Source organism: Homo sapiens, chromosome 10 (assembly GCF_000001405.40).
Source record: "Homo sapiens chromosome 10, GRCh38.p14 Primary Assembly".
Classification (NCBI taxonomy): Eukaryota; Metazoa; Chordata; class Mammalia; order Primates; family Hominidae; genus Homo; species Homo sapiens.
Genome location: NC_000010.11, coordinates 52,965,933 through 52,985,844, shown reverse-complemented (window position 1 = coordinate 52,985,844; position 19,912 = coordinate 52,965,933). Strand labels below are relative to the sequence as shown.

The following is a 19,912-nucleotide window of genomic DNA, read 5'->3' as shown; positions in this document are numbered from 1 at the left end:
CTGGGTCAAATAAGGTGATTGTGATATTACTTATTACTGACAAAATGCAGAGTTTTTGTTTGCTTATAGTTTTACTTAAGAAGTTATTTTATTATTTTACTTATTATTTTAGTCAAATCCATAGAGACACATACTTAAGAAGTTTAAAATCAGATGTTTCATCATTATTTGCATTGACTAAGAATTGTTTAGGAAGGGAGTTTATTTTTGTTTTGTTTTCAAGTATTTGTAGGTTTCAATTCTACTTCTGTTATTTTTTAAATTTTTTTATATTAGCTATAAAGATTTTATTAATCTTTCATATTATTTTTACCATTGGAAACATAAAATAATTTAGTACTAATCTTATTCAGAATACCTACTATCTCCCTAATTTTAGGGGTCTGTTTGATCTATCAAAAGCTGAGAAATAAAATGTATAGTGTTATATTATATTTATGTTTTTCTCTACTGTTCTCACATATTTTGAAATATTACTATGTGTTAACTCATTTACTTATTTCTTGAGTTGACAACTTTTTATTAAACATAGAATTATACCTAGGTTTCTCTTTGGGAATCTGGAGGAAAAACTGAGAATGGAACTAATATAAATTCCTGGTTCATAGAACATTTACTTAACTGGAAGAAGCAAGGGAAGATAAGTTAAGAAGTAAAATATAAACTGTAGTATTTTAAAATTAACAAACACTCTATGGAGAAAAATGAAGCATAGAATGAAGAAAAAAATAAGAAATTGAGTGCTGCTATTTAAAATCAGATGGTTAGAAAAAAAGCAAAATTTCGGATATTTTAATAGATTCTTGAAGAAGGCAAGGAAGCAGAATTCAGAAATCTTAATCATGAGATTCAAATCAAAAGGAAAACAATGGCAACAATTTTCTCCCCACCATCCCCCATAAAAGCTTAGACATAGAGTGTTATTGAAACAGCAAAAATGTGGCTAGAGCCTCATTATAAAAGTGAACAGTGGCAGGAGATGCTGTAAGACAGGGACTATGGAAGGCTTAGAGATGAAAAGAAAGGCAGCCATTCCAAACCCTGTACAGTCACATCAGGCGTTTTTTTTTAAAAAAACCCTCTATCTACCAGGATCTCTGGCTAGTAAATGATGATTTCCCCTTCTTTTTTCTATCTTTTCCACTTTTTGTTTGTTTGATATTGTTTCCCTTCAAATCTTCAAGACACTTCTAATATTCAGCCAATGGCAGAACCACTAATGTATGCCAAATTGGGCTAAAAGCTGGTGGTTTGACTCAAATTCCACATTTAAAAAAAGAAGAGAGAGATAGAACTCCAGACATTCTCACTATACTGTGCACTGGGAATCATGTCTCCCACATACCTGGCAGAAGAAGGAAGTTCTATTTAAAAAAAAAAAAAATCCTTAGACTCAGGAAAATCAGACATAGCTAAAGGCAAGACATGTAATCAAAATACAGATACTGAGTGAAAATCTGAATTCTAAATAGTGAGATGACTCATCTCCAAGAACACATGTAGCTAGGTTTATAACTCTGCTCCAGACTCAAGGCTCCTTCCTCACAAGCAGAAGAGAAGATTCCCCTGTAGGAAAATGGTTCTAAAAAAAGATAAAAATCAGATAAAGTCTGGTATAGGGAGGGAGGCATCCTCCAATGATACAGACTAGCAAGATCACCCAAAACAAAGCCTACCAGTTGGCCAAATATGTATGTCAATTTAAATTAATGTATTTAGAGACTCGCTGTTACATATAAACAGAAAATTACAGATCTTAAAATCACTGGTAGTTATAACATAAAAAATAGAGTCCAAAATAAAAATCTTTAAAGGGAATCATAGCCTAGTTAATATAGGCAATACAAAGAGTAAATGCAATATTATTAACCTCTAACTCATTGTTCTGTAGAGATAGAAAATATCGCACCATAGGAGGTGGAGAGGATAGAAAATAGCAAAACTATATATATTTATATGTTTAAATTTTAGCTGAAATAAAAGTTGCAATAACAGATCTAAATATGTGACTTTGAAACATCTCAAAAAATTAACAACAAACCTAACTAAAAAGTGGGCAAATAAACATTTTTCCAAAAACGATACACAAATGGCAGAAAGCACATTAAAAGATGCTCAACATCACTAATCAATAGCAAAATACAAATCAAAACCATACCGAGATACCATTTCACACCCATTCAAATGTCAATCATTAATTTTAAAAAAATGGTTGGAGGTTGAACACAGTGGTGCATTCCTATAATCTAGCACCTTGGGAGGCCAAGGCTGGAAGATCACGTGAGCCCAGGAGTTTGTGACCAGCCTGGGCAACACAGTGAAACCCGCTCTCTACAAAAAAAAGAAAAAAAAAAAATTAGCCAGGTGTGGTGGTGCATGCCTATAGTCCCAGCTACTCGAGAGGCTGAGGTGGGAGGATCACTCGAGCCCTGGCTGCAGAGGTTGCAGTGAGCTGAGATTGCACCACTGCACTCCAGCCTGGGTAATAGAAGGGTACCATTTCTCAAAGAAAAAAAAAAAAATGGTTGGCATGATGCGGAGGAATTGAAACTCTTGTGTATTGCTGCTGGGAATGTAAAATGGTACAGTCACTTTGTAATAAATGTAACAAATGATGTTGTAATTCCTCAAAAATTCAAAAGTTTACCATATAATTCAGCAATTCCACTTCTGGGCATACACCCCAAAAAATTGAAAGCTAGAACTTGAACGGATTTTTGTATACTCCTCATTATAGCATAATCCACAATAGACAAAAGGATATAGCAACCCACATGTCCATGGATGAATAAACAAAATGTGGGATAAACATAAAATAGAATATTATTGAGCCCTAAAAAGGAAGGAAATGCTGATGCATGCTACAATATGGATGAACCTTGAAAACGTTATGCTGAGTGTAATAAGCCAGTCACAACAGGACAAATATTATACGATCCCACTTACATGAGGTACATAGAGTACACAGGTACAAATTCATGGAGACAGAAAGTAGAATGGTGGTTGCCATGATTGGAGTGAGGAGAATGGGAAGTTATTGTTTAATGTGTAGGGCATTTCAGTTTGGGAAAATAACGTTCTGGAAATGCATGATGGTGATGGATGCACTACAGTGTGAATGTATTTGCATTGAACCATACACATAAAATAGTTAAAAGGGAAAATGTTACATTATATGTATTTTATGACAATAACAAAAAAAGATAAGCATAAGAGAAATGAGATAATAACTTTAGAAAATTAGTTCAGGAGGTCTAATCTCCAATAAATAAAAGTTTGAGAAGAAAAAAAATTGAGGAAGAGGGAATATTTGCCAACTCATTCTAAGACGCCAATATTACCTTTATTCTAAAGCTAGGGGGTAAAATCATGCAAAATAAAAACTAGAGAAAAATATTCTTCATGAGTATACATATAAATATCTTGAGCAAAATAGGTTTTTTGTTTATCTGTTTTTCTGAGACGGAGTCTTGCTCAATTGCCCAGGCTGGAGTGCAGTGGCATCATCTCAGCTCACCGCAACCACTGCCTCCTGGGTTCAAGCAATTCCCCTGTCTCAGCCTCCCAAGTAGCTGGAATTATGGGCACCCACCACCACAACCGGCTAAATTTTTATTTTTAATAGAGACAGGGTTTCACCATATTGGTCAGGCTGGTCTCGAACTCCTGACCTCAGATGATCCACCTACCTCGGCCTCCCAAAGTGCTGGGATTACAGGCATGAGCCACTGCACCCAGCCACAAAATAGTTTTTAGATCATCAATATATTAAAAAGAATTACACACCATGACCAAGTGTCATTTATCCCAGAAATTTAAGATTAATATAACATCATTTTACTTCTCATGGATTATGCAAAAAAATCAAATATTCATTAATTAATGCACCATATTAGAATAAAGAAGAAAAAACACAAGATCCACAAGGTCATCTCTATAAATGCAGAGAGAACATTCGACAAATTCCAACATCTAATCATGATAAACACTTTCGGTAAAATAGGAATAAAAAGAAACATCTTCAACCAATTAAAATGCATCTACATAAAACCTATAGCTTAAAAAATATACGTATAATAAAAGACAATGTTTCTGCCCTAAGATCAAGAACCAGACAAGTACATCCATTCTCACTACTTCCATTTAATATTGTACTATAAGTTCTAGCCAGTACAATAAAGCAAGAAATAGAAAGTAAATTCCCCCAGATTGAAAAGGAAGAAGTAAACTTTTCTTTATTGGCAGAAGACATCACTCCTCATGTAGAAAATCCTCAGGAATTTACAGAATACCTACTAGAATTAATAAAAAAAAAATTAACAGATTTTCAAGATGTAACATTGATACAGCAAAACCAACTGTATTTCTATATACTAGAAACAAAAGTTCAAAATTAAAATTAAGAAAACAATACAATGTACAACATCATTAAAAAGAGTAGAATACTTTGTAATACATGTAACAAAAGTTGTGAAAAACCTGTATACTGAAAACTATAAAATATTGCTGAGATAAATTAAATATTAAAGGGGAGACATTTCATATTCATGGACAGAAATAATCCATATTGTTAAGATGTTAATTCTCCCCAAATGGATCTACAGTTTCAATCCTTATGAAAATCCCACATTTTTGGCAGAAATTCATAAGCTGATCCGAAACTTGATTTGGAAAAGCAAAAGACCTTAAATGAACAAAGTTATTTTGAAACAGAAGAGAAAAGCTGGAGGACTTACCATAATCAACTTTATAGTACCCTATGAAGCTGAAGTATTTGAGAGTGTGTGCGGTATTGTTATAAAAATAGACATATAGATCGATGGAACAGAATAGAGTCCCAAAATAAATCCTTAAATGAAAGGTCAATTGATTTTCAACAAAAGTGCCAAGGTAATTAAATGGGAAAAGGATAGCATTTTCAACAATTTCTACTGAGACAACTGGATATCCACATACAAAACGATGAATTTGTTTTAGACCTACACTTCATACCACATAAGAAACTAATCTCAAAATATATAACAGACTTAAAAATAAGTACAAAATGTGAAAAAAAAAACTTACCAAAGAAAACATCAGGAAAAAATTGTATAATTTTTCTTTTTTTCTTTCAAGGCAGGGGCTCACTTTATCTGCCAGGCTGTAGTGCAGTGGTATGATCACAACTCACTGCAGCCTTGACCTCCTAGGCTCAAGTGATCTTCCCAACTTTAGCTCCGCTCACTTTTAATTTTTTATGGAGATAGGGTCTCACTTTTTTGCCCAGGCTGGTCCCCAACTCTTACCCTCAAGCAATCCTCCCACCTCAGCCTCCAAAAGTGCTGGGATTACAGGGGTGAGCCACCACACCCAGCAAATTTTATAATTTTGTATTAGGAAAAGATTTTTTCTCGAATATAACATCAAAGCATGATGTATTAAATAAAAATTGATGTTAAGCATCATCAAAATTTACAACTTTTGCTCTTCATTAAGAAAATGAAAAGACAAGCTACAGCTGAGAGAGCGTATTTGCCAATCATATATCTTAATAAGGACTTAAATCCAGACTCTATAAAAAACTCTTACAACTTGATAATAATAATGGCCAAAATATTTTAATAGACACATTATGAGGTATGATAAGTAGCACATGAGAAAATGCTCAACAGAATTTGTCATCAAGAAATGCAAATTAAAACTATAAGATACCTCTACATGCAAAGTAGCATAGTTAAAATTGAAAAAGACTTAGAGTGTAAGTATTGGCAAAGATGTGAAAAATTGAGACCTTTATGCATTGCTGGTGGGAATGTAAAGTGGTACAGCTACTTTGAAAAACAGTTTGGCAGTTTCTTGAAAATTTAAACCTACATTTAACATATTACCTGGCAGTTCCACTCCTAGTTACCTGCTTAAGAAAAACAAAAATGTATGTTCACACACAGTCATGTATAAAAACATTTGCAGAAGCGAAATTCATACAATCAATCTAAATTCCCATCAGCTGATGAGTGGATAAACAAAACATCTTAATACAATGGAATCGTGTTAAGCAATAAAAAGGAACGAATTACTAATACACACTACAACACAAATTAACATCCAAGAAATGATGACTAAAAAAGATCATATATCATGCAAAGGACCAGGAATCAGCATATCACTGGACTTCTCTGAGGCAATACTGAAGCTAGAAGAAACTAGGGTACTGCCTTGAAGATTTTGAGAGAAAGTAAAGATACCTTATAAATAAAATATCAAAAAATATATATTTCTCATATACCCTTCCCAGCAACATTCTAGAAATAACTCTACTCCAGACCAAGGCAGAGAATAGGACATTGCATCATCACAGATGACAGGTTAAGGAAATCTCCAAGGTTACTGGTGAAGTGACATCCAAGTGTGATTTATGCAGCACACCATGACAGAGAATACTGAAGTCCAAAGAAGGAGTATGAAGGAGTCAAAGGGGTATAAGTCCAGAAAAATTAAAGAAAGAAGGAAGGAGGGAGGGATAGAAAACATGGAAGGGGGGAAGACAAAAAGGCAGGCAGGAAGGAAAAGGACAAAATAATTTTTTGAATGTACCTTAGAGAAAATTAACAATTCCAGAGGCTATTTTTAGAATTAATTAGAACATAAAAACCTGGAAAATGAGGAAATGAGGCAATTACTAACTTCAAGACAACTAAAAATTACAGAAAAGGGAATATACTAATGGTACATTTTGTGGTTTAAATGTGAGTACAAATTACATACTCATAATAAAAATCTCTATACATACTACTCTAAGCAAATAGTATGTTATACGGGGGAAAATTGGAGGACAGAAAGTGTTAGAATATTGGAAGAGGAACGTATTTGAGTTACATAGTTCTCTTCCAGAGAAAGATATCAGTATGTAATATCTAAAACAAAAAAATAGGACAAAAATTTTATTTAGAAAGATGGATGTTGATGTTAGAGAAAACAGGTAAAAAAACTGAGTGGCTATTTCTAGGAAGAGGGAATTAAAGTTGGAGATGGGTGGGACATAAGACTGTTGGTTTAAGTCTTCAGTGTAAACTACAACTTTTCAAACTACATGTATGCATGACTTTCATAAAATGTGAAAACTGAAAAAAGGACAATAAGTTAGGTTAGAAATCTCAGAATAAAATGTAGTATATACATCTTCTGAAGTCTCTACAATGTAGGGAAAAAAAAAACAAAACAAGGATGAAACTATAAAATGATGTTTCTTTTGCAGTTGTAGGAGTGATAGGAGACTTCAGCACATTTGGGACATAACAAAATATAGCCAAGAACTCAGCAAATTAAGGACAAGCTTGCTGTTAAAAAAAAAAAAAAAACAAAAACCTCAGCAAAGACAAAATTAATCATGTACTAAATATAGATTATATCCACTACAGACCCCCTTCACAGAACTACATAGGAGAAAGAAAATGCTATAAAAATAAAGTGAATAGAAATTAGAGGTAGAAGTTGTGGGAAGAGGGGATCAGAAATAAAAAAATATATATGAAAAAATTGACTTCTATAAGAAAGAGTTATCCTGAACAGGCAAGTTTGAGAACTTTTGATTCCACTGTAGACATGATTTATCTCCATTCATTTAATCCTCATAAGGGTATAGAGAAAAACTGAGTAGTTTTTGGTTAAACAGAGCCACCAATATATCCTGTCTGAATTCATTGCTGGGAAGAAAGGAAAAACTGGAGGAACAATGTTTACAGGTGCCTCAGTTACTGACCACAGGTTCTTAGGCTCCTGTGCAATAGAAATTGACACAAAGCCAAGCAAGTTTCCCAGACAAGGCCCTTTATTAGTGGCTTATGTTCCAATACCAGGGAGCCAAGGTAGGCACGTGAGTTCTCCAGTCAGCTGGCTAAGGGCAGGCCTTTGCTGTGTTTTTAGGAAAGGTGACATGAGTATGTATGAGGTATGTGACAATCGTTACATGTGCAGGGTGGAGCTCAGGTCACACAAGCACAGTGAGAAATCATGTTAGTACATACACTACATTATCACAAAATGGTAGATAAGCCTCTCCCTGGGTGTGGATTTTAGTATTATAATGAGGTCAGGCACGAAGATAGGTCATTCTTCTGCTCTTGTGTGCAGCCACCTGCACACAATAGGGTCAACTCCTCTGAGCAAGGGTTGTGGTGAGAAGTTGCTTTTTAACTCCCTTAATATTTATGGTAGGGTGCTGCTTATCTTAGTTTTTTCAAGGTCTTGTGATCATCAGGAGTGGCTCCAGTAGAGGTGGTGGTGTAAGCTGTGACAATTGGTGGGTATGGAAAAAATGCATGTGTGAGGGTGAAAGGGCCAGGTCTGGCACGTGCTGAGTCCCATCCCTACTCTGTCTCAACTTCTCAGCTCATCAGTTAGGTTAAGGGCAGAATATTAAAGTAATGGAGTGGGAGAGGGTACCTAATTGAAAAGAAACGAAGAGTGCTACAAAAGTGGAGAGGAAAATCTTTTTACTTTCATAAAAGTTCAATTCTTTGACCTCAGCTTCAGACATTGTAGATAAACAAGATAAATGCCATTTTTTTGGATTCTGTAAGGCAGATTCATATATGTGTTCCCTTCAGTTTTTCTCAAGAAAACCTAAGGATGTTCCTGAGAGTGGTGCAAGTATGTGTTACTGAAACTCCAGGGATTTCATCTAGGTCCTGTTGCTTACTGGACGGAAAGCCAATTATCGAGACAACAAGTATTACCAGGGAAGAAGTCTTTTTATTTGGGTGACACCAACCAGGAGAAAGGAAAATAAGTCTCAAATTCATCTCCCGGACTAGCTAAAATTGAGAGGTTTATATAGTGGGGAAAAGAAGAGCTATGTGGGGGAAGGGATAGCTACCTATGGAAAGGAATTAGGGAGTGATAAGGAAGCAAATGAATGGGCTGGCTTCTCATTGTCTGGATATTGTGATCTGGTCAGTTTCCTAAGGAAGGAACTCAGATGATACAAATGTAAATTTCATGTCTTAAGACTGGGAGGATCAATTTCTATTTTTTTCAAAAATCCATAAATATCATTTACATGTGACAATTGGGCTGGTTTCATATTGAGAATAAGGTTAAGTTTAATATCCCATTGAGGTCTTAGATTGCATGTGGATTTCCCTACATCAACTGAGACAATAACACTTTCCCCCATAACTCACCTGAAGAAATTATAAGTGGGTCAGGCACCGTGACTTCTGCCTGTAATCCTAGCACTTTGGGAGGCCAAGGTAGGAGGAAAACTTATGGCTAGGAGTTGGAAACTGGCCTGGGCAACATAGCGAGACCCTGTCTCTACAAAATTAATACAAAATTTAGCTGGGCATGGTGACACATACCTATAGTCCTAGCTGATCCAGAGGCTGAAGTGGGAGGATCATTTGAACCCAGGAGTTCGAGGCCACAGTGAGCCATGATTGTGCAATGCACTCTAGCATGGGTAACAGAGCTGGACCCTGTCTCAAAATAAATAAGTAAATAAACAAAAATAAAATTTAAAGATTCATGAGAGTATGTCTATATACTATTAAGATAAAATAGCAAACCAGAAAGCAGTCTCATATTTAACACATCTAATTTCTGTGTCATATGTGTGTGACACATTTTTGTTACATAGCTAGATATGTACATATGGAAACTAAAGTGAGTTCCATATATCCAGACATTTTTCATCATGAAAAAACATTGGAAAGTCATTATCTGATGTTTTTGTTATTTCTGAAATACATAATATGAAAGCAAAGAGTTGCAATATGATCATTTTATAAAAGAAAATACATGGGCTTAGATGTGCCTACTTGGACCCAAGGTACACATATTTGAGTCTAAATAGAATATTGATATTAAATCTGAGACCTTGGCTGGCTTTTCATTTACTTCTGAGAATGAACAACTTAAGGCAATGTGGGAGTGTGAGCACATGACATATACCTGCCATTTTAAGAAGCAGTTACTATCTTGATTAAGTATTTACTTCCTTGCAATGGAACGATCTAATACTGGTTTATGTTTGTTTCTGTGTTTATTTTTAGGTGTTTTTATTACACAAGACAAAAACGGAAAAACAGTAACAAATGATTGGTTAAGCCTTTCAAAACAAAGAAGTGTATGTGCTACAGTATATTTAGACCTATTATTCTTAATCTTCTAAGTGGAACATAAAATCTTAATGTCTAATACAAAAATACTAAGAATATGTAAGTTCTTAATAAGTACTTGATTGTCTGAAGCCCTGAAATAGACACCTGGGAATTTTACTAATGGCCAATAAGGAGGAACTGTTAGAATATAAATTCCTGGTAAAGGAAACAAAAAATAAGTTATTTCCTTAAGGGACTACAGAGGGTACAGAAGTAACTTTTTGTCCTTTTGTTTGCATATTTTCATACAAAGGGTTCTCATCTATTAATTCCATTCTGAAAGATAAACAGCACACCAGCTATCCTTAGCATTCTATATATAAGAAACTTCAGACTAAGCTGAGTGTGGTGGCTCATACCTATAATCCCAGCACTTTGGAAGGCTGAGGTAAGCAGATAACTTGAGCCCAAGAGTTTGATACCAGCCTGGGAAACATGGAGAAAACCCATCTCTACAAAGAATACAAAAATTAGCTGGATGTGGGTGGTGTGCACCTGTAGTCCCAGCTGCTCAGGAGCCTGAGGTGGGAGGATCACTTGAGCCTGGGAAGTGGAGCCTGCAGTGAGCTGTGATCATACCGCTGCACGCCAGGATCAATTACAGAATGAGACCATGTCTCAAAAAAAAAAAAATAAATAAATAAGGTAAGGTTTAGCAGGTTAGGTAAAATATATTTTATGTGAGAAAGTTAAATAATCTACCCCAAATCATAAAACTACAGAATGGCAAATACGAAATGTAGAACTAAATTATTAACTCCAAACCCAGAGCCTTCCCTCAAAATTCTGGCTAGAAATGGCAATGCTTAGATGAATAACTTCTGTTTCCTCTTCAAACATTAATATTCCAGTATGCCTGGAGTGGGAGGAACATTACACTATACTTCTTTCTCCTCCTTCATTAGTGAAGGTCACTGGAATAGGTTCATTACACTCAAGCAAAGGCCTGGGGAAATGATAGAATTACCTCTGTTGACCCAGAAGAGCACCAAAAGCACCAGTGTGCAGAAATCAGAGACCTCAAGCTAAAAGTCATAAAAGGTAAGTGTTTATAATTAACCTTTCATGGATATCCTCTTTATAGTCCTGTCTATGATTGCTGTTCTTATCTTCATTCTGTTCCTCACTATAAGGTGTCTTTGCCAAGGACCCCTTAATCCTGAACACCCATGGGATTATCTACTCCCTTAAACAACTATCTCTCTTCTAAAATGTAACTATCCTCCCCCATACAAGATTTAGTTTCCTTCACAAGGGTGAAACAGTTCTGGCCACAACATTGTTTTCAGAATAATTAGTCTACTTTACTTTTTTCTTTTATCTCTGGCACTAAATGTTCCCTTTTAGCTCCTCTTTGTATAATACTTATATTTGGTCCATGCATACTTAACCTCCTTGTAAAATTTGTTTCTTCTTGCCTAAAGGCCATCAAACTCCAAAGGGTCATGCAAATGGAGCCTTAGATGATGGCTTCCTTTTTATCAGGGACACTTACAGGTCTCTGAATGATATCTGACTGCCATTTTCCCAAAACAATGCTCCCTGTCAGTATGAACGGTCATTGTCCCTATCCTAACAGCTAGATGTACCTCTTCAGATGGGGGATTGATAGCAGCAGGAGACAGACATATTCATAGGCAGACAGAGACAGATTCCCAGTGAAACCTAACCTTCAAGCCAAAGACAGTTTAAAGCCTGAAAACTGAGCTGCCAGTTCCAGATAGAGTCCCTGACCAGAGTGAGAACTTCTATTCCCATCTTACCCACTCTCAGTTGGTTCCTTCTGAATGAAGCCTTTTAGCCAACTGAAAAGTGATTTTTCCAAGACCATACACAGACGAATCAGTACACACTCACCTCTTCTAAGCCCATAAAAACCCTGGACTCAGCCTCACAGGCTGCTACCCACTTTCATTCTGCTTGTGTGGCTGACAGCTTTCTTTCTGTAGCTCAATAAAATTCTACTGCCTTACTCACTTTCAGGTGTCTGCATATCTTATTTTTCTTGGTTGCAGGACAAGAACCTGGAAGTCGTCGAACTGTGGAAGCAAAAGACCTGTAATGCTCCTGCTTGCCGAGCTGTGAGCAGTGGTAGTAAAAGAGCAGTAACATTCTCTCCTGCTTGCCAAACAGGAGAGAAGCCACTGGCACCACTCCCTCCCACTCACTGAACTATAGAAGAGAAAAAATTGAAACACCAAAATTGGGGAAATGCGACTTTTGCGAAAATTTGAAAGTGCATGCTTCACAGAAGGAAGGGGGAGCTGGTCTATTATGTCTCACTATAACAAGACTAAAATTTTGCAAATAAATTGTTCCTGCCATAATTTATCCTTGGTAGAAATGAAGAAATTGGAGAGAGAAAAAATTGGATTCTAGGTCCTGACCATTGTTTTTGAATTTTTATTATTTTCCTACAATTTAGGCTAAATTCTGAACTATTTGCTGGCTACAAGAGGCCTCTAAAAAAGAGCTGGGTTTTAGTTTTCTTCATGCTCTTTAAAAACTGGCATATAATGGTGTGTATCTCTCGTTGTTTTACTTCTAAGAAACTGAAGGCATGATATTCTGAAGACTAGAGGTGATTCAATAGCCTATGAATCTTCTTCATTTGGAACCCCACTGGGCCTGATCTGTTTCCCATCACCAATGCACTTCTGCTAAACCTATATCCTATCAAGTACTCTCCCTAAATGCTCAGAGACCATAACAGAAGATGAGGGTGTGTGAGATTATAAAAGCCAAATTAGTGGAGTGGAATCTGGAGGCTAAAGCAACTCCATCTTGGATGCTAATCTGCCATGTTGGCTTCTGATTAACCCCAGTTCTGGAGGGCCTCTGAGGTTTCCAATTTATCTACTGTCCCTTGTGTAAGAACAAGTACTTATCATAAATCCTGCTATTAGGGCAAATTTCTACCCATTCCCTCTGAAGCATGTGCACCTCTCCTCTACATGTAATCTCCCCTACAATAGATAAACCCCTCTGGGTCTGGGGGCTAATAGTGTGGGAACCCATCATCTTGCCTCACTGCTGCACAAGCCACAGGTGTGGCTTCTGTTTCTAAGTCCCTATTAAATGTTTCTAGATACCAGATGTATCAACCTCTTTCTTCAGCCTCTCAGCTTCCTGGGACTTTGGGGTTGGTTTGCATAGACCTACCCACCAAAAAACTCTCACAGAGTCAGTCTTAAATACATACAGAGCACGGTTGGGAAAATTCCATGAATATTTATAGGGGAAGTCATGTGCTTGAAAATTGGATAAACTTGTATGTAACATACATTCCATTTTGACCTGGGGGTGAGGTTTCAGCTGGGATTCGACTGTTTATGTCAAAAGGTAAACTCTAGGGCAAAAAGAATTTGGACATAGTCTCTGCAAGCTGACTGAAACTGGCTTAAGATCTATGGTCACTTATCAATAAAGAATGTGATAAAAACGGTCTTTGTCCAATCAGAGTGCTGGCAGGACCACAAGGCAAGGAAAGGGCATTGACAGTTGGAGTCCAGTGATTTATTAGTATTGGTTGGAAAATTTTTCAATTATAGTTGTTTTGGCAATGTTTTTCAGGAGCTGGTTTCTGTTTAATTACAGAAAAGAAACCTTATGTAAATTAACAACAACAGGATACATGAACAATCCTTCATCCTACTAGCCATGAAATTCTGGAGTTTTTTGTTTGTTTGTTTGTTTTAGGGTTTTTTTTGTTGTTGTTGTTTTGCTTTGTCTCATTGTAGCCACAGAAAGTCCATTTGGTCTGTCTGTTGGGGTATATTGTGACAATTCCATTTGTCTTTAGCTGAAAATGGTTTCAAGCCTGAATTCTAAGCCACCTCATTTTCTCCTAGTATCTCCCATGTGTTAGCTTAAAAGAAAAACACAACTTATAAATGTAGAAAACGAGAAGAGGAGACTTTGTTTCTTATAGAGGATTATAGCTTGCAGGTAGCCATTCTGAAAGACTGGGAAGCATAGCCTCCAGCCAGAAGCCAGAAACAGATACTTTGAGGAAGGGTCAAAGGGAACAGGGATTTATGCTGAGTAGGGTGGCCACATATACATATTCAATAAGCAGTAGGAGGAGTCATAAATATTTATGAAAGGAGAAATTGTGTGTGTGTGTGTCCACATGTGCACACATGTGCAATACAGCTTCACGAGTCTCCATGTTCAAAAACTAGCGGTGATCTGAGGGTGGAGTTTTCAGCCCTCTGATGTCAAAAAATAAAGGAGAGGACACAAAAACTCTTATTGGGCATTCTCCATAGACTGGCCAGAACTCCTCCATGGTCAGTGGTCTCTTAACAGGTAAAAAAAGGAGGGGAAGCAACAGGCAGTTGGTGGATATTAGTGGTGGAGTCTTTTGAAAGGGCTACTTTTTGTTTAGGCCTTAGTGAAGAAAGCCTAATTGCAATAAGCAAGCAGTGGGGTATAATGAGGCATGTCCAACCTTCCCATCTCATCATGGCCTAGAACACAGTTTTCAAGTCTACTTTGAGGTTCCCTTGGCCAAGAGATGGTCCCTTCAGTCAGCTAAGGGGCTTAGAATTTTATTTTTAGTTTATACATGCATATATGAGGTATAGATGTAAATAAAATTGTGTTTTCCTCTTACTAAACTGCCTTTTGTTACAGTGTTCTCAGTTAAGAACTTAGTAGAGAGAAAATTATTATTATTATTATTATTATTATTTGAGATGGGGTCTCACTGTCACCTGGGCTATAATGCAGTGGCATAATTATGGCTCACTGCAGCCTCTATCTCCTGGGCTCAAATGATCCTCCCTCCTGAGCCTCCCCAGTAGCTGGGAGTACAGGAATGTCCCACCACATCTGGCTACTTTTTTAAATTTTTGGTATAAACGGTGTCTCACCATGTTGCCCAGGCTTATTTCAAACTCCTTGTTCAAATGATCCTCCCACCTTGGCCTCTCAAAGTGTTGGGAATACAGACATGAGCCACAGCTCCTGTCCAAAATTATTATTTTTCCTGCCCCTATGGCAGCATAATTTTCACTTATATCTCACTGGAAAGAACGGTGTCAAATGGCCATCATCAACTATAAGGAAGGTCAGCCAATACTCTCCTATTTCTATTAGTAAGGAAAGAGTGAATTTCAAAGGGACAGCTACAGGTTTCTGTATCACAACGTCTTCCTCCATTCTATCTCTCTAACAGAAGCACTTGCCAACTGGTGGTCTATGATGTAGAGGAATTTCTAGAAATAATTACTGAAATTTCTCAATTTCATTTATTTTCCTTTTAATGTCTTTTCTAAGTCAGTTAGCCCATGGGAGTACTGGATAGCTGTCACTGTTCTCCAAATGCAGTTCTAAACTTGTCTATGGAAGAAACTCTTCTTTATTTCTTCGTTGTTATATATTTATCTCTCCAAATATCTCTGGGAGATAAAATCTATGGAACTGAACTCAGGCCAGGAATATAGGATTATGTACCCAAGGGGGATGCCTGAAGGCACATATTTACCACCTGCTTACACTGCAAAATGCAAATCCAAGAAGGATGAATGCTTTTGTTCTTTCAGCTGCTACAATAAGAAATCAAACAGCAGTTCTGACACAGAGCAAATACAAAAAATTAACAACAGCTACCATTTATTAAGTACTTACCATACGCCAGACACAATGTTAAATATCAAACCAACTAAAAGGAAGAAGCTGAGGCAAGATCAATATAAGCAGAGAGTTTATTTGGGTCAAGCCTGAGAATTGCAACCTGGGAGCATAAATTGAAGTAGCCCCAAAAACACTCTGATTAACAACAGTGACAAGCAGGTTTTAAAGCTGTGTGCAGTGGCTCACGCCTGCAATCTCAGTACTTTGAGATGCCCAGGAGGATTTCTTGGGCCCAGGAGTTTAAGACCAACCCAAGCAACACAGGGAGACCCCCTCTCTACAAAAAGAAAGAAAAAAAAAAAAAGGAGATTTTTTTAAAGGAAAAGAAGATGCAGTTCACCAAGAATTTACAGAAGCTATTGATTGGCTATACATCATTATTTGCATCACAAATTCCAGGAACATAAAGATAACGGGTGAGGCAGCTAATCAAAAACAGAAATTCTTTAAACACCCATGCATGTGTGAGGATATGGGGGTGGGGGGCTATAAGTAAAGTCCCACTCTCATGTATTTCTGGACCTGACAATTTTTTCATGCCTGACATAGCTCAGACTGGTCTGAGCTATTTTTCTTTTCTAACATCTCCCTTACCTCCTAAATTCCTCCAAATACTCATGCTCATATATGAGTATTAGGGTACCTATTCCATAGATAATAAAATTATAATTGAAATAAATTTGCAGCCATAAAAAAAGAAGAAAATCATGTCCTTTGTAGCAATGTGGATGCAGCTAGAAGCCATAATACTAAGTGAATTAATTCAGGAACAGAAAATCAAATACCACATATTCTCACTTACAAGTAGGAGTTAAGCATTGGATACACATAGACACAAAGGTGGGAATAATAGACACTGGGGAATACAATACGAGGAGGAAGGTAGGGAAGCAAGGGTGAAAAACTAACTTTTGGTTACTATGTTCACTATCTGGGCGACAGATTCATTCACACTTCAAATATCAGCATCACACAATATATCTTTGTAACAAACCTGCACATCTAACTCCTGATTCTAAAACAAAAGATGAAAAAGTGAAAAAGCATGAACAGGAAAGCCAGAGTGTGTGATTTTTGCACTTTTAGCAGCAAAAGTATTTGTTTATCACTAAAAATATTTTAGGTCTCTTCCAAGATTAAAACATATGTAGATATTTCTAGGACAAAATAAATAACTAATCAGTTATATTCTAAAAGATAGACCAGAACCATTAAACCCCTGTACATATGTTCATTGAGAAATAAACTCCTGACCTAGCAAACTCCGGGTACACACACAACTCACAGCCATCCATATGTTTCTTCAACTGCACTTCTTTCAATACCCAGATATTGTTTCCTGTTAGGAATTCATCTAGCCTGATATTTTTGCTTCTTCCTTTCAACCTGAAATAATAAAAATAATCATAATCCATTTTAAAAGAGTTTATTCAATTGCAAAGCTGAGAATAGCCACTCGACTAACGCAGACTCCAAAGAAACAAGGTAAGTGCTCCAAAGCTGACAATTCATGCTTATATAGGCAGAAAACAAATCAATGACAAGATTACAACATTTTTCACAAAAGGCTGGTTTATGAGTTACAGCAGTTTGGTTAGTTACAGTTGTTTTCCTTTTCCAATTTAAGAATATATTTAACATTCCATCATAGACAATGTGATGTGATAGTTTTGAGGCCTTTGTATAAAAGAAAAAAAAGGAAGTTAATCTATAATGAAAATCAACAGTGGAAAGGGAAGGGGGTCTTCTCTGGCACCCTTTAGTCTTTTACAACATTTTGCAAAACAATGTAGATAAACAAAAGGCTAATCTACAATCAGAGGAACAAAGGTTACAGCTGCCTGTCACATGACTAAGGGCCCATAATCACATTCCTTTAAGGCTCAAAATAGTTTAAATTTCCAATAGCTTTTATTTTGAATTACTTATTCATAAACTCCCTTTTGATCTTTCATGACTAATTGATCTGTCTCTGGAAACACTTCCGTAAATCAAAAATAAAATTTTAAGCCCCTCAACTGACTGAATGGATCTCACTCTGAGCCAAGCAAACCCAAGGAAACCTGAAAAGGTAGGTCAGGCCATGACAGAAAAGAGAGGGTCAGACATGCTTCTTTCTACTCGCTTCCTTTTGGAGTTCAGGTGCAACTGATCAGCATTAACATTAAAACAGAGATCTTAAGACTGACAAAACAGACTCTTTGTATCAATAAGATATCTAATTCCAACCTGACTCTAGTCTGACATCACATGACACATAAAGAAGGAAATCAAAATATTTTACCTCAAATATGTTTATTTGCCATATTTTCAAATGGTCCTGCAAAACTGTCTTCTGTGGGGGGAAATATGCATCTGTAAAGAATCTATATTAACGTAAATAGATCTCTCCCATTCCAGGCCTTCCCAACTGTGAAGAGACTAACTGAGAGTATGGCACCTCTTAAAGGTCTAAATAGATCATCTATTGTCTCTAAGGTTGGTCCTCTATGAGACTTCATCTATGTAATAAGAACCTTGATCTCCACAATGCCTTATCTTTTGACAGACACTCCTTTCTATTGATTCCAGGTCTTTAGGTAATAACTTAACTCTCAACCCATTGCAGGTCAGGAAATCTTTGAATCTACCTATGACCTGTAAGCACCTCAGAACCTGTGCTTCGAGTTGTCCCACCTTTCTGGGCTGAACCAATATATACCTCACATGTATTGATTGGTGAATTACATCTCTCTAAAATGTATAAAACCAAGCTGTAACCCAACCATTTTGGGCACATGGTGTCAGGAGCTCTTGAGACTGTGCCTTGGCCCGTGGTCACTCACATTTATCTCAGAATAAACCTCTTTAAATATTTTACAAAGTTTGGCTTTTTTCATCAACATTTCTCACACAGACTTACACCCACTTTAAGACTTGCCTGTGGTTTCCTCTCATCAGTTTCATCAGGAAATCAATCACCTGCCTCTGCTTTTCTCCCTCTCTCTGCCCTATTTCAGCTTTCTCTCTCAGTCCATCTCTAGCATCTTTTGGTTCATTTTATGACTTTAATTGTGGCTTCTTAGTGTTAGATCTAGTACTACATCTGCAGATAGGTAAGAGGGAGCTATATATTTTGAAGTGACAGCTAAAAGGAAAGCCAGCATCTTTCACCACCACATCTCTTCAAAATCTTAGAAAATTTCCATAATTTCCAATTAAGCCTGCTTTCCTCAAGCTCTTGCACTTATGAAAATTAAATTATTTAACTTTATAGTATTGTTCTATTCTACTTCAACATGTTAAATATTTTATTTCAAATGAGTATGCTATTGCAGCTATATTATATAGTAAACAATCATATTTAGACTAGTGAACACCCATAATCATTGATGAGATTTCATTTGCATATATTCAGATTCTTTCTGATAAAACAAATTTTAGCAAGTTAGTGGTAGGGACCAAGGAAAAATATCCATGTCCCCCTCTGCAGTTTTGCTGACAACCAGTTGACAAAAGGCAAATTAATAGGGGAAAAGGCATACAAAATTTATTTTAATGTGCATTGCATGGGGAGAATCACAGGGTAAGATAATGATTACCCAATAAGCAAATGGAGTATAAAAGCTTATATACCCTTCCTCATAGGGGATGGAAGATGGGGAATGTAGACAACTCTTTGAGGAGCAGTGAATGATTATTAGGGACAATGAGTAGGCCCAGGGTACAGAAATTAACTTGTAAATGATTCTCTTTGAAATTCGAATGAGCCTGAGAGGCAGGCACTATCTTGTAACAGGTCCATCCAGGTGTGGTTGTATTCCTCAGTTGTCTGAGATAGATAATGAGATTTCAGGGAGGACAAGGAAGGCAATTGTGTTTGTTCTGGGGGATTTCCAGGTAGAAAAGGGAACTGAAGAGAACAGCCTCATTCTGTGCTTTGAAAGAGACAAAGGGTTAAGAGAAGGGGAAGTAATCCGAGAGACCTGAAGTTGCCAGTTTCGTTCAGCCATATTGATGGCAGCAGCAGCCTATCTGGAGGAGCTGCTGTGAAGAGGCTGGCTGCAGCCAGTGAGCTGCGGCTGGGTCGTGTGCTCTGGGTCCAGAGGGAGCCAGGAAGAGGCAGGAGCCCTGCCCCCTTACCGAGTTGACAG

The 19,912-nt window shown here is 36.9% G+C and overlaps 1 long non-coding RNA gene across 4 annotated transcripts in view, besides 4 other annotated features; it reads left to right on the top strand.

Moving 5' to 3' along the window:
- Positions 1 to 13,581, top strand: part of LINC02672 (long intergenic non-protein coding RNA 2672) — a 57,847-nt gene extending 44,266 nt beyond the window's left edge. For 2 of the 4 annotated variants that reach the window (NR_186378.1, NR_186377.1), the window contains exons 3-5: positions 10,032 to 10,105; positions 11,045 to 11,180; positions 12,155 to 13,581. This is a non-coding gene — a long non-coding RNA (long intergenic non-protein coding RNA 2672). Of the gene's footprint in view, positions 1 to 10,031; positions 11,181 to 12,154 lie in introns of all 4 variants that reach the window. The other 2 variants (NR_186376.1, NR_186379.1) reach the window with 2 other exon arrangements.
- Positions 17,293 to 17,828: an enhancer, noted in NCBI's record as "OCT4-NANOG hESC enhancer chr10:54727777-54728312 (GRCh37/hg19 assembly coordinates)". NCBI's record gives its function as "activates a minimal SCP1, AML or CMV promoter by ChIP-STARR-seq in primed H9 embryonic stem cells {active_cell/tissue: H9 hESC(primed)}" and the evidence as "EXISTENCE:reporter gene assay evidence [ECO:0000049][PMID:30033119]".
- Positions 19,226 to 19,750: an enhancer, noted in NCBI's record as "NANOG-H3K27ac-H3K4me1 hESC enhancer chr10:54725855-54726379 (GRCh37/hg19 assembly coordinates)". NCBI's record gives its function as "activates a minimal SCP1, AML or CMV promoter by ChIP-STARR-seq in naive H9 embryonic stem cells {active_cell/tissue: H9 hESC(naive)}" and the evidence as "EXISTENCE:reporter gene assay evidence [ECO:0000049][PMID:30033119]".
- Positions 19,226 to 19,852: a biological region, named in NCBI's record as "NANOG-H3K27ac-H3K4me1 hESC enhancer GRCh37_chr10:54725855-54726379".
- Positions 19,503 to 19,852: an enhancer, noted in NCBI's record as "active region_3379". NCBI's record gives its function as "activates an Ori minimal core promoter by ATAC-STARR-seq in GM12878 lymphoblastoid cells {active_cell/tissue: GM12878}" and the evidence as "EXISTENCE:reporter gene assay evidence [ECO:0000049][PMID:35858748]".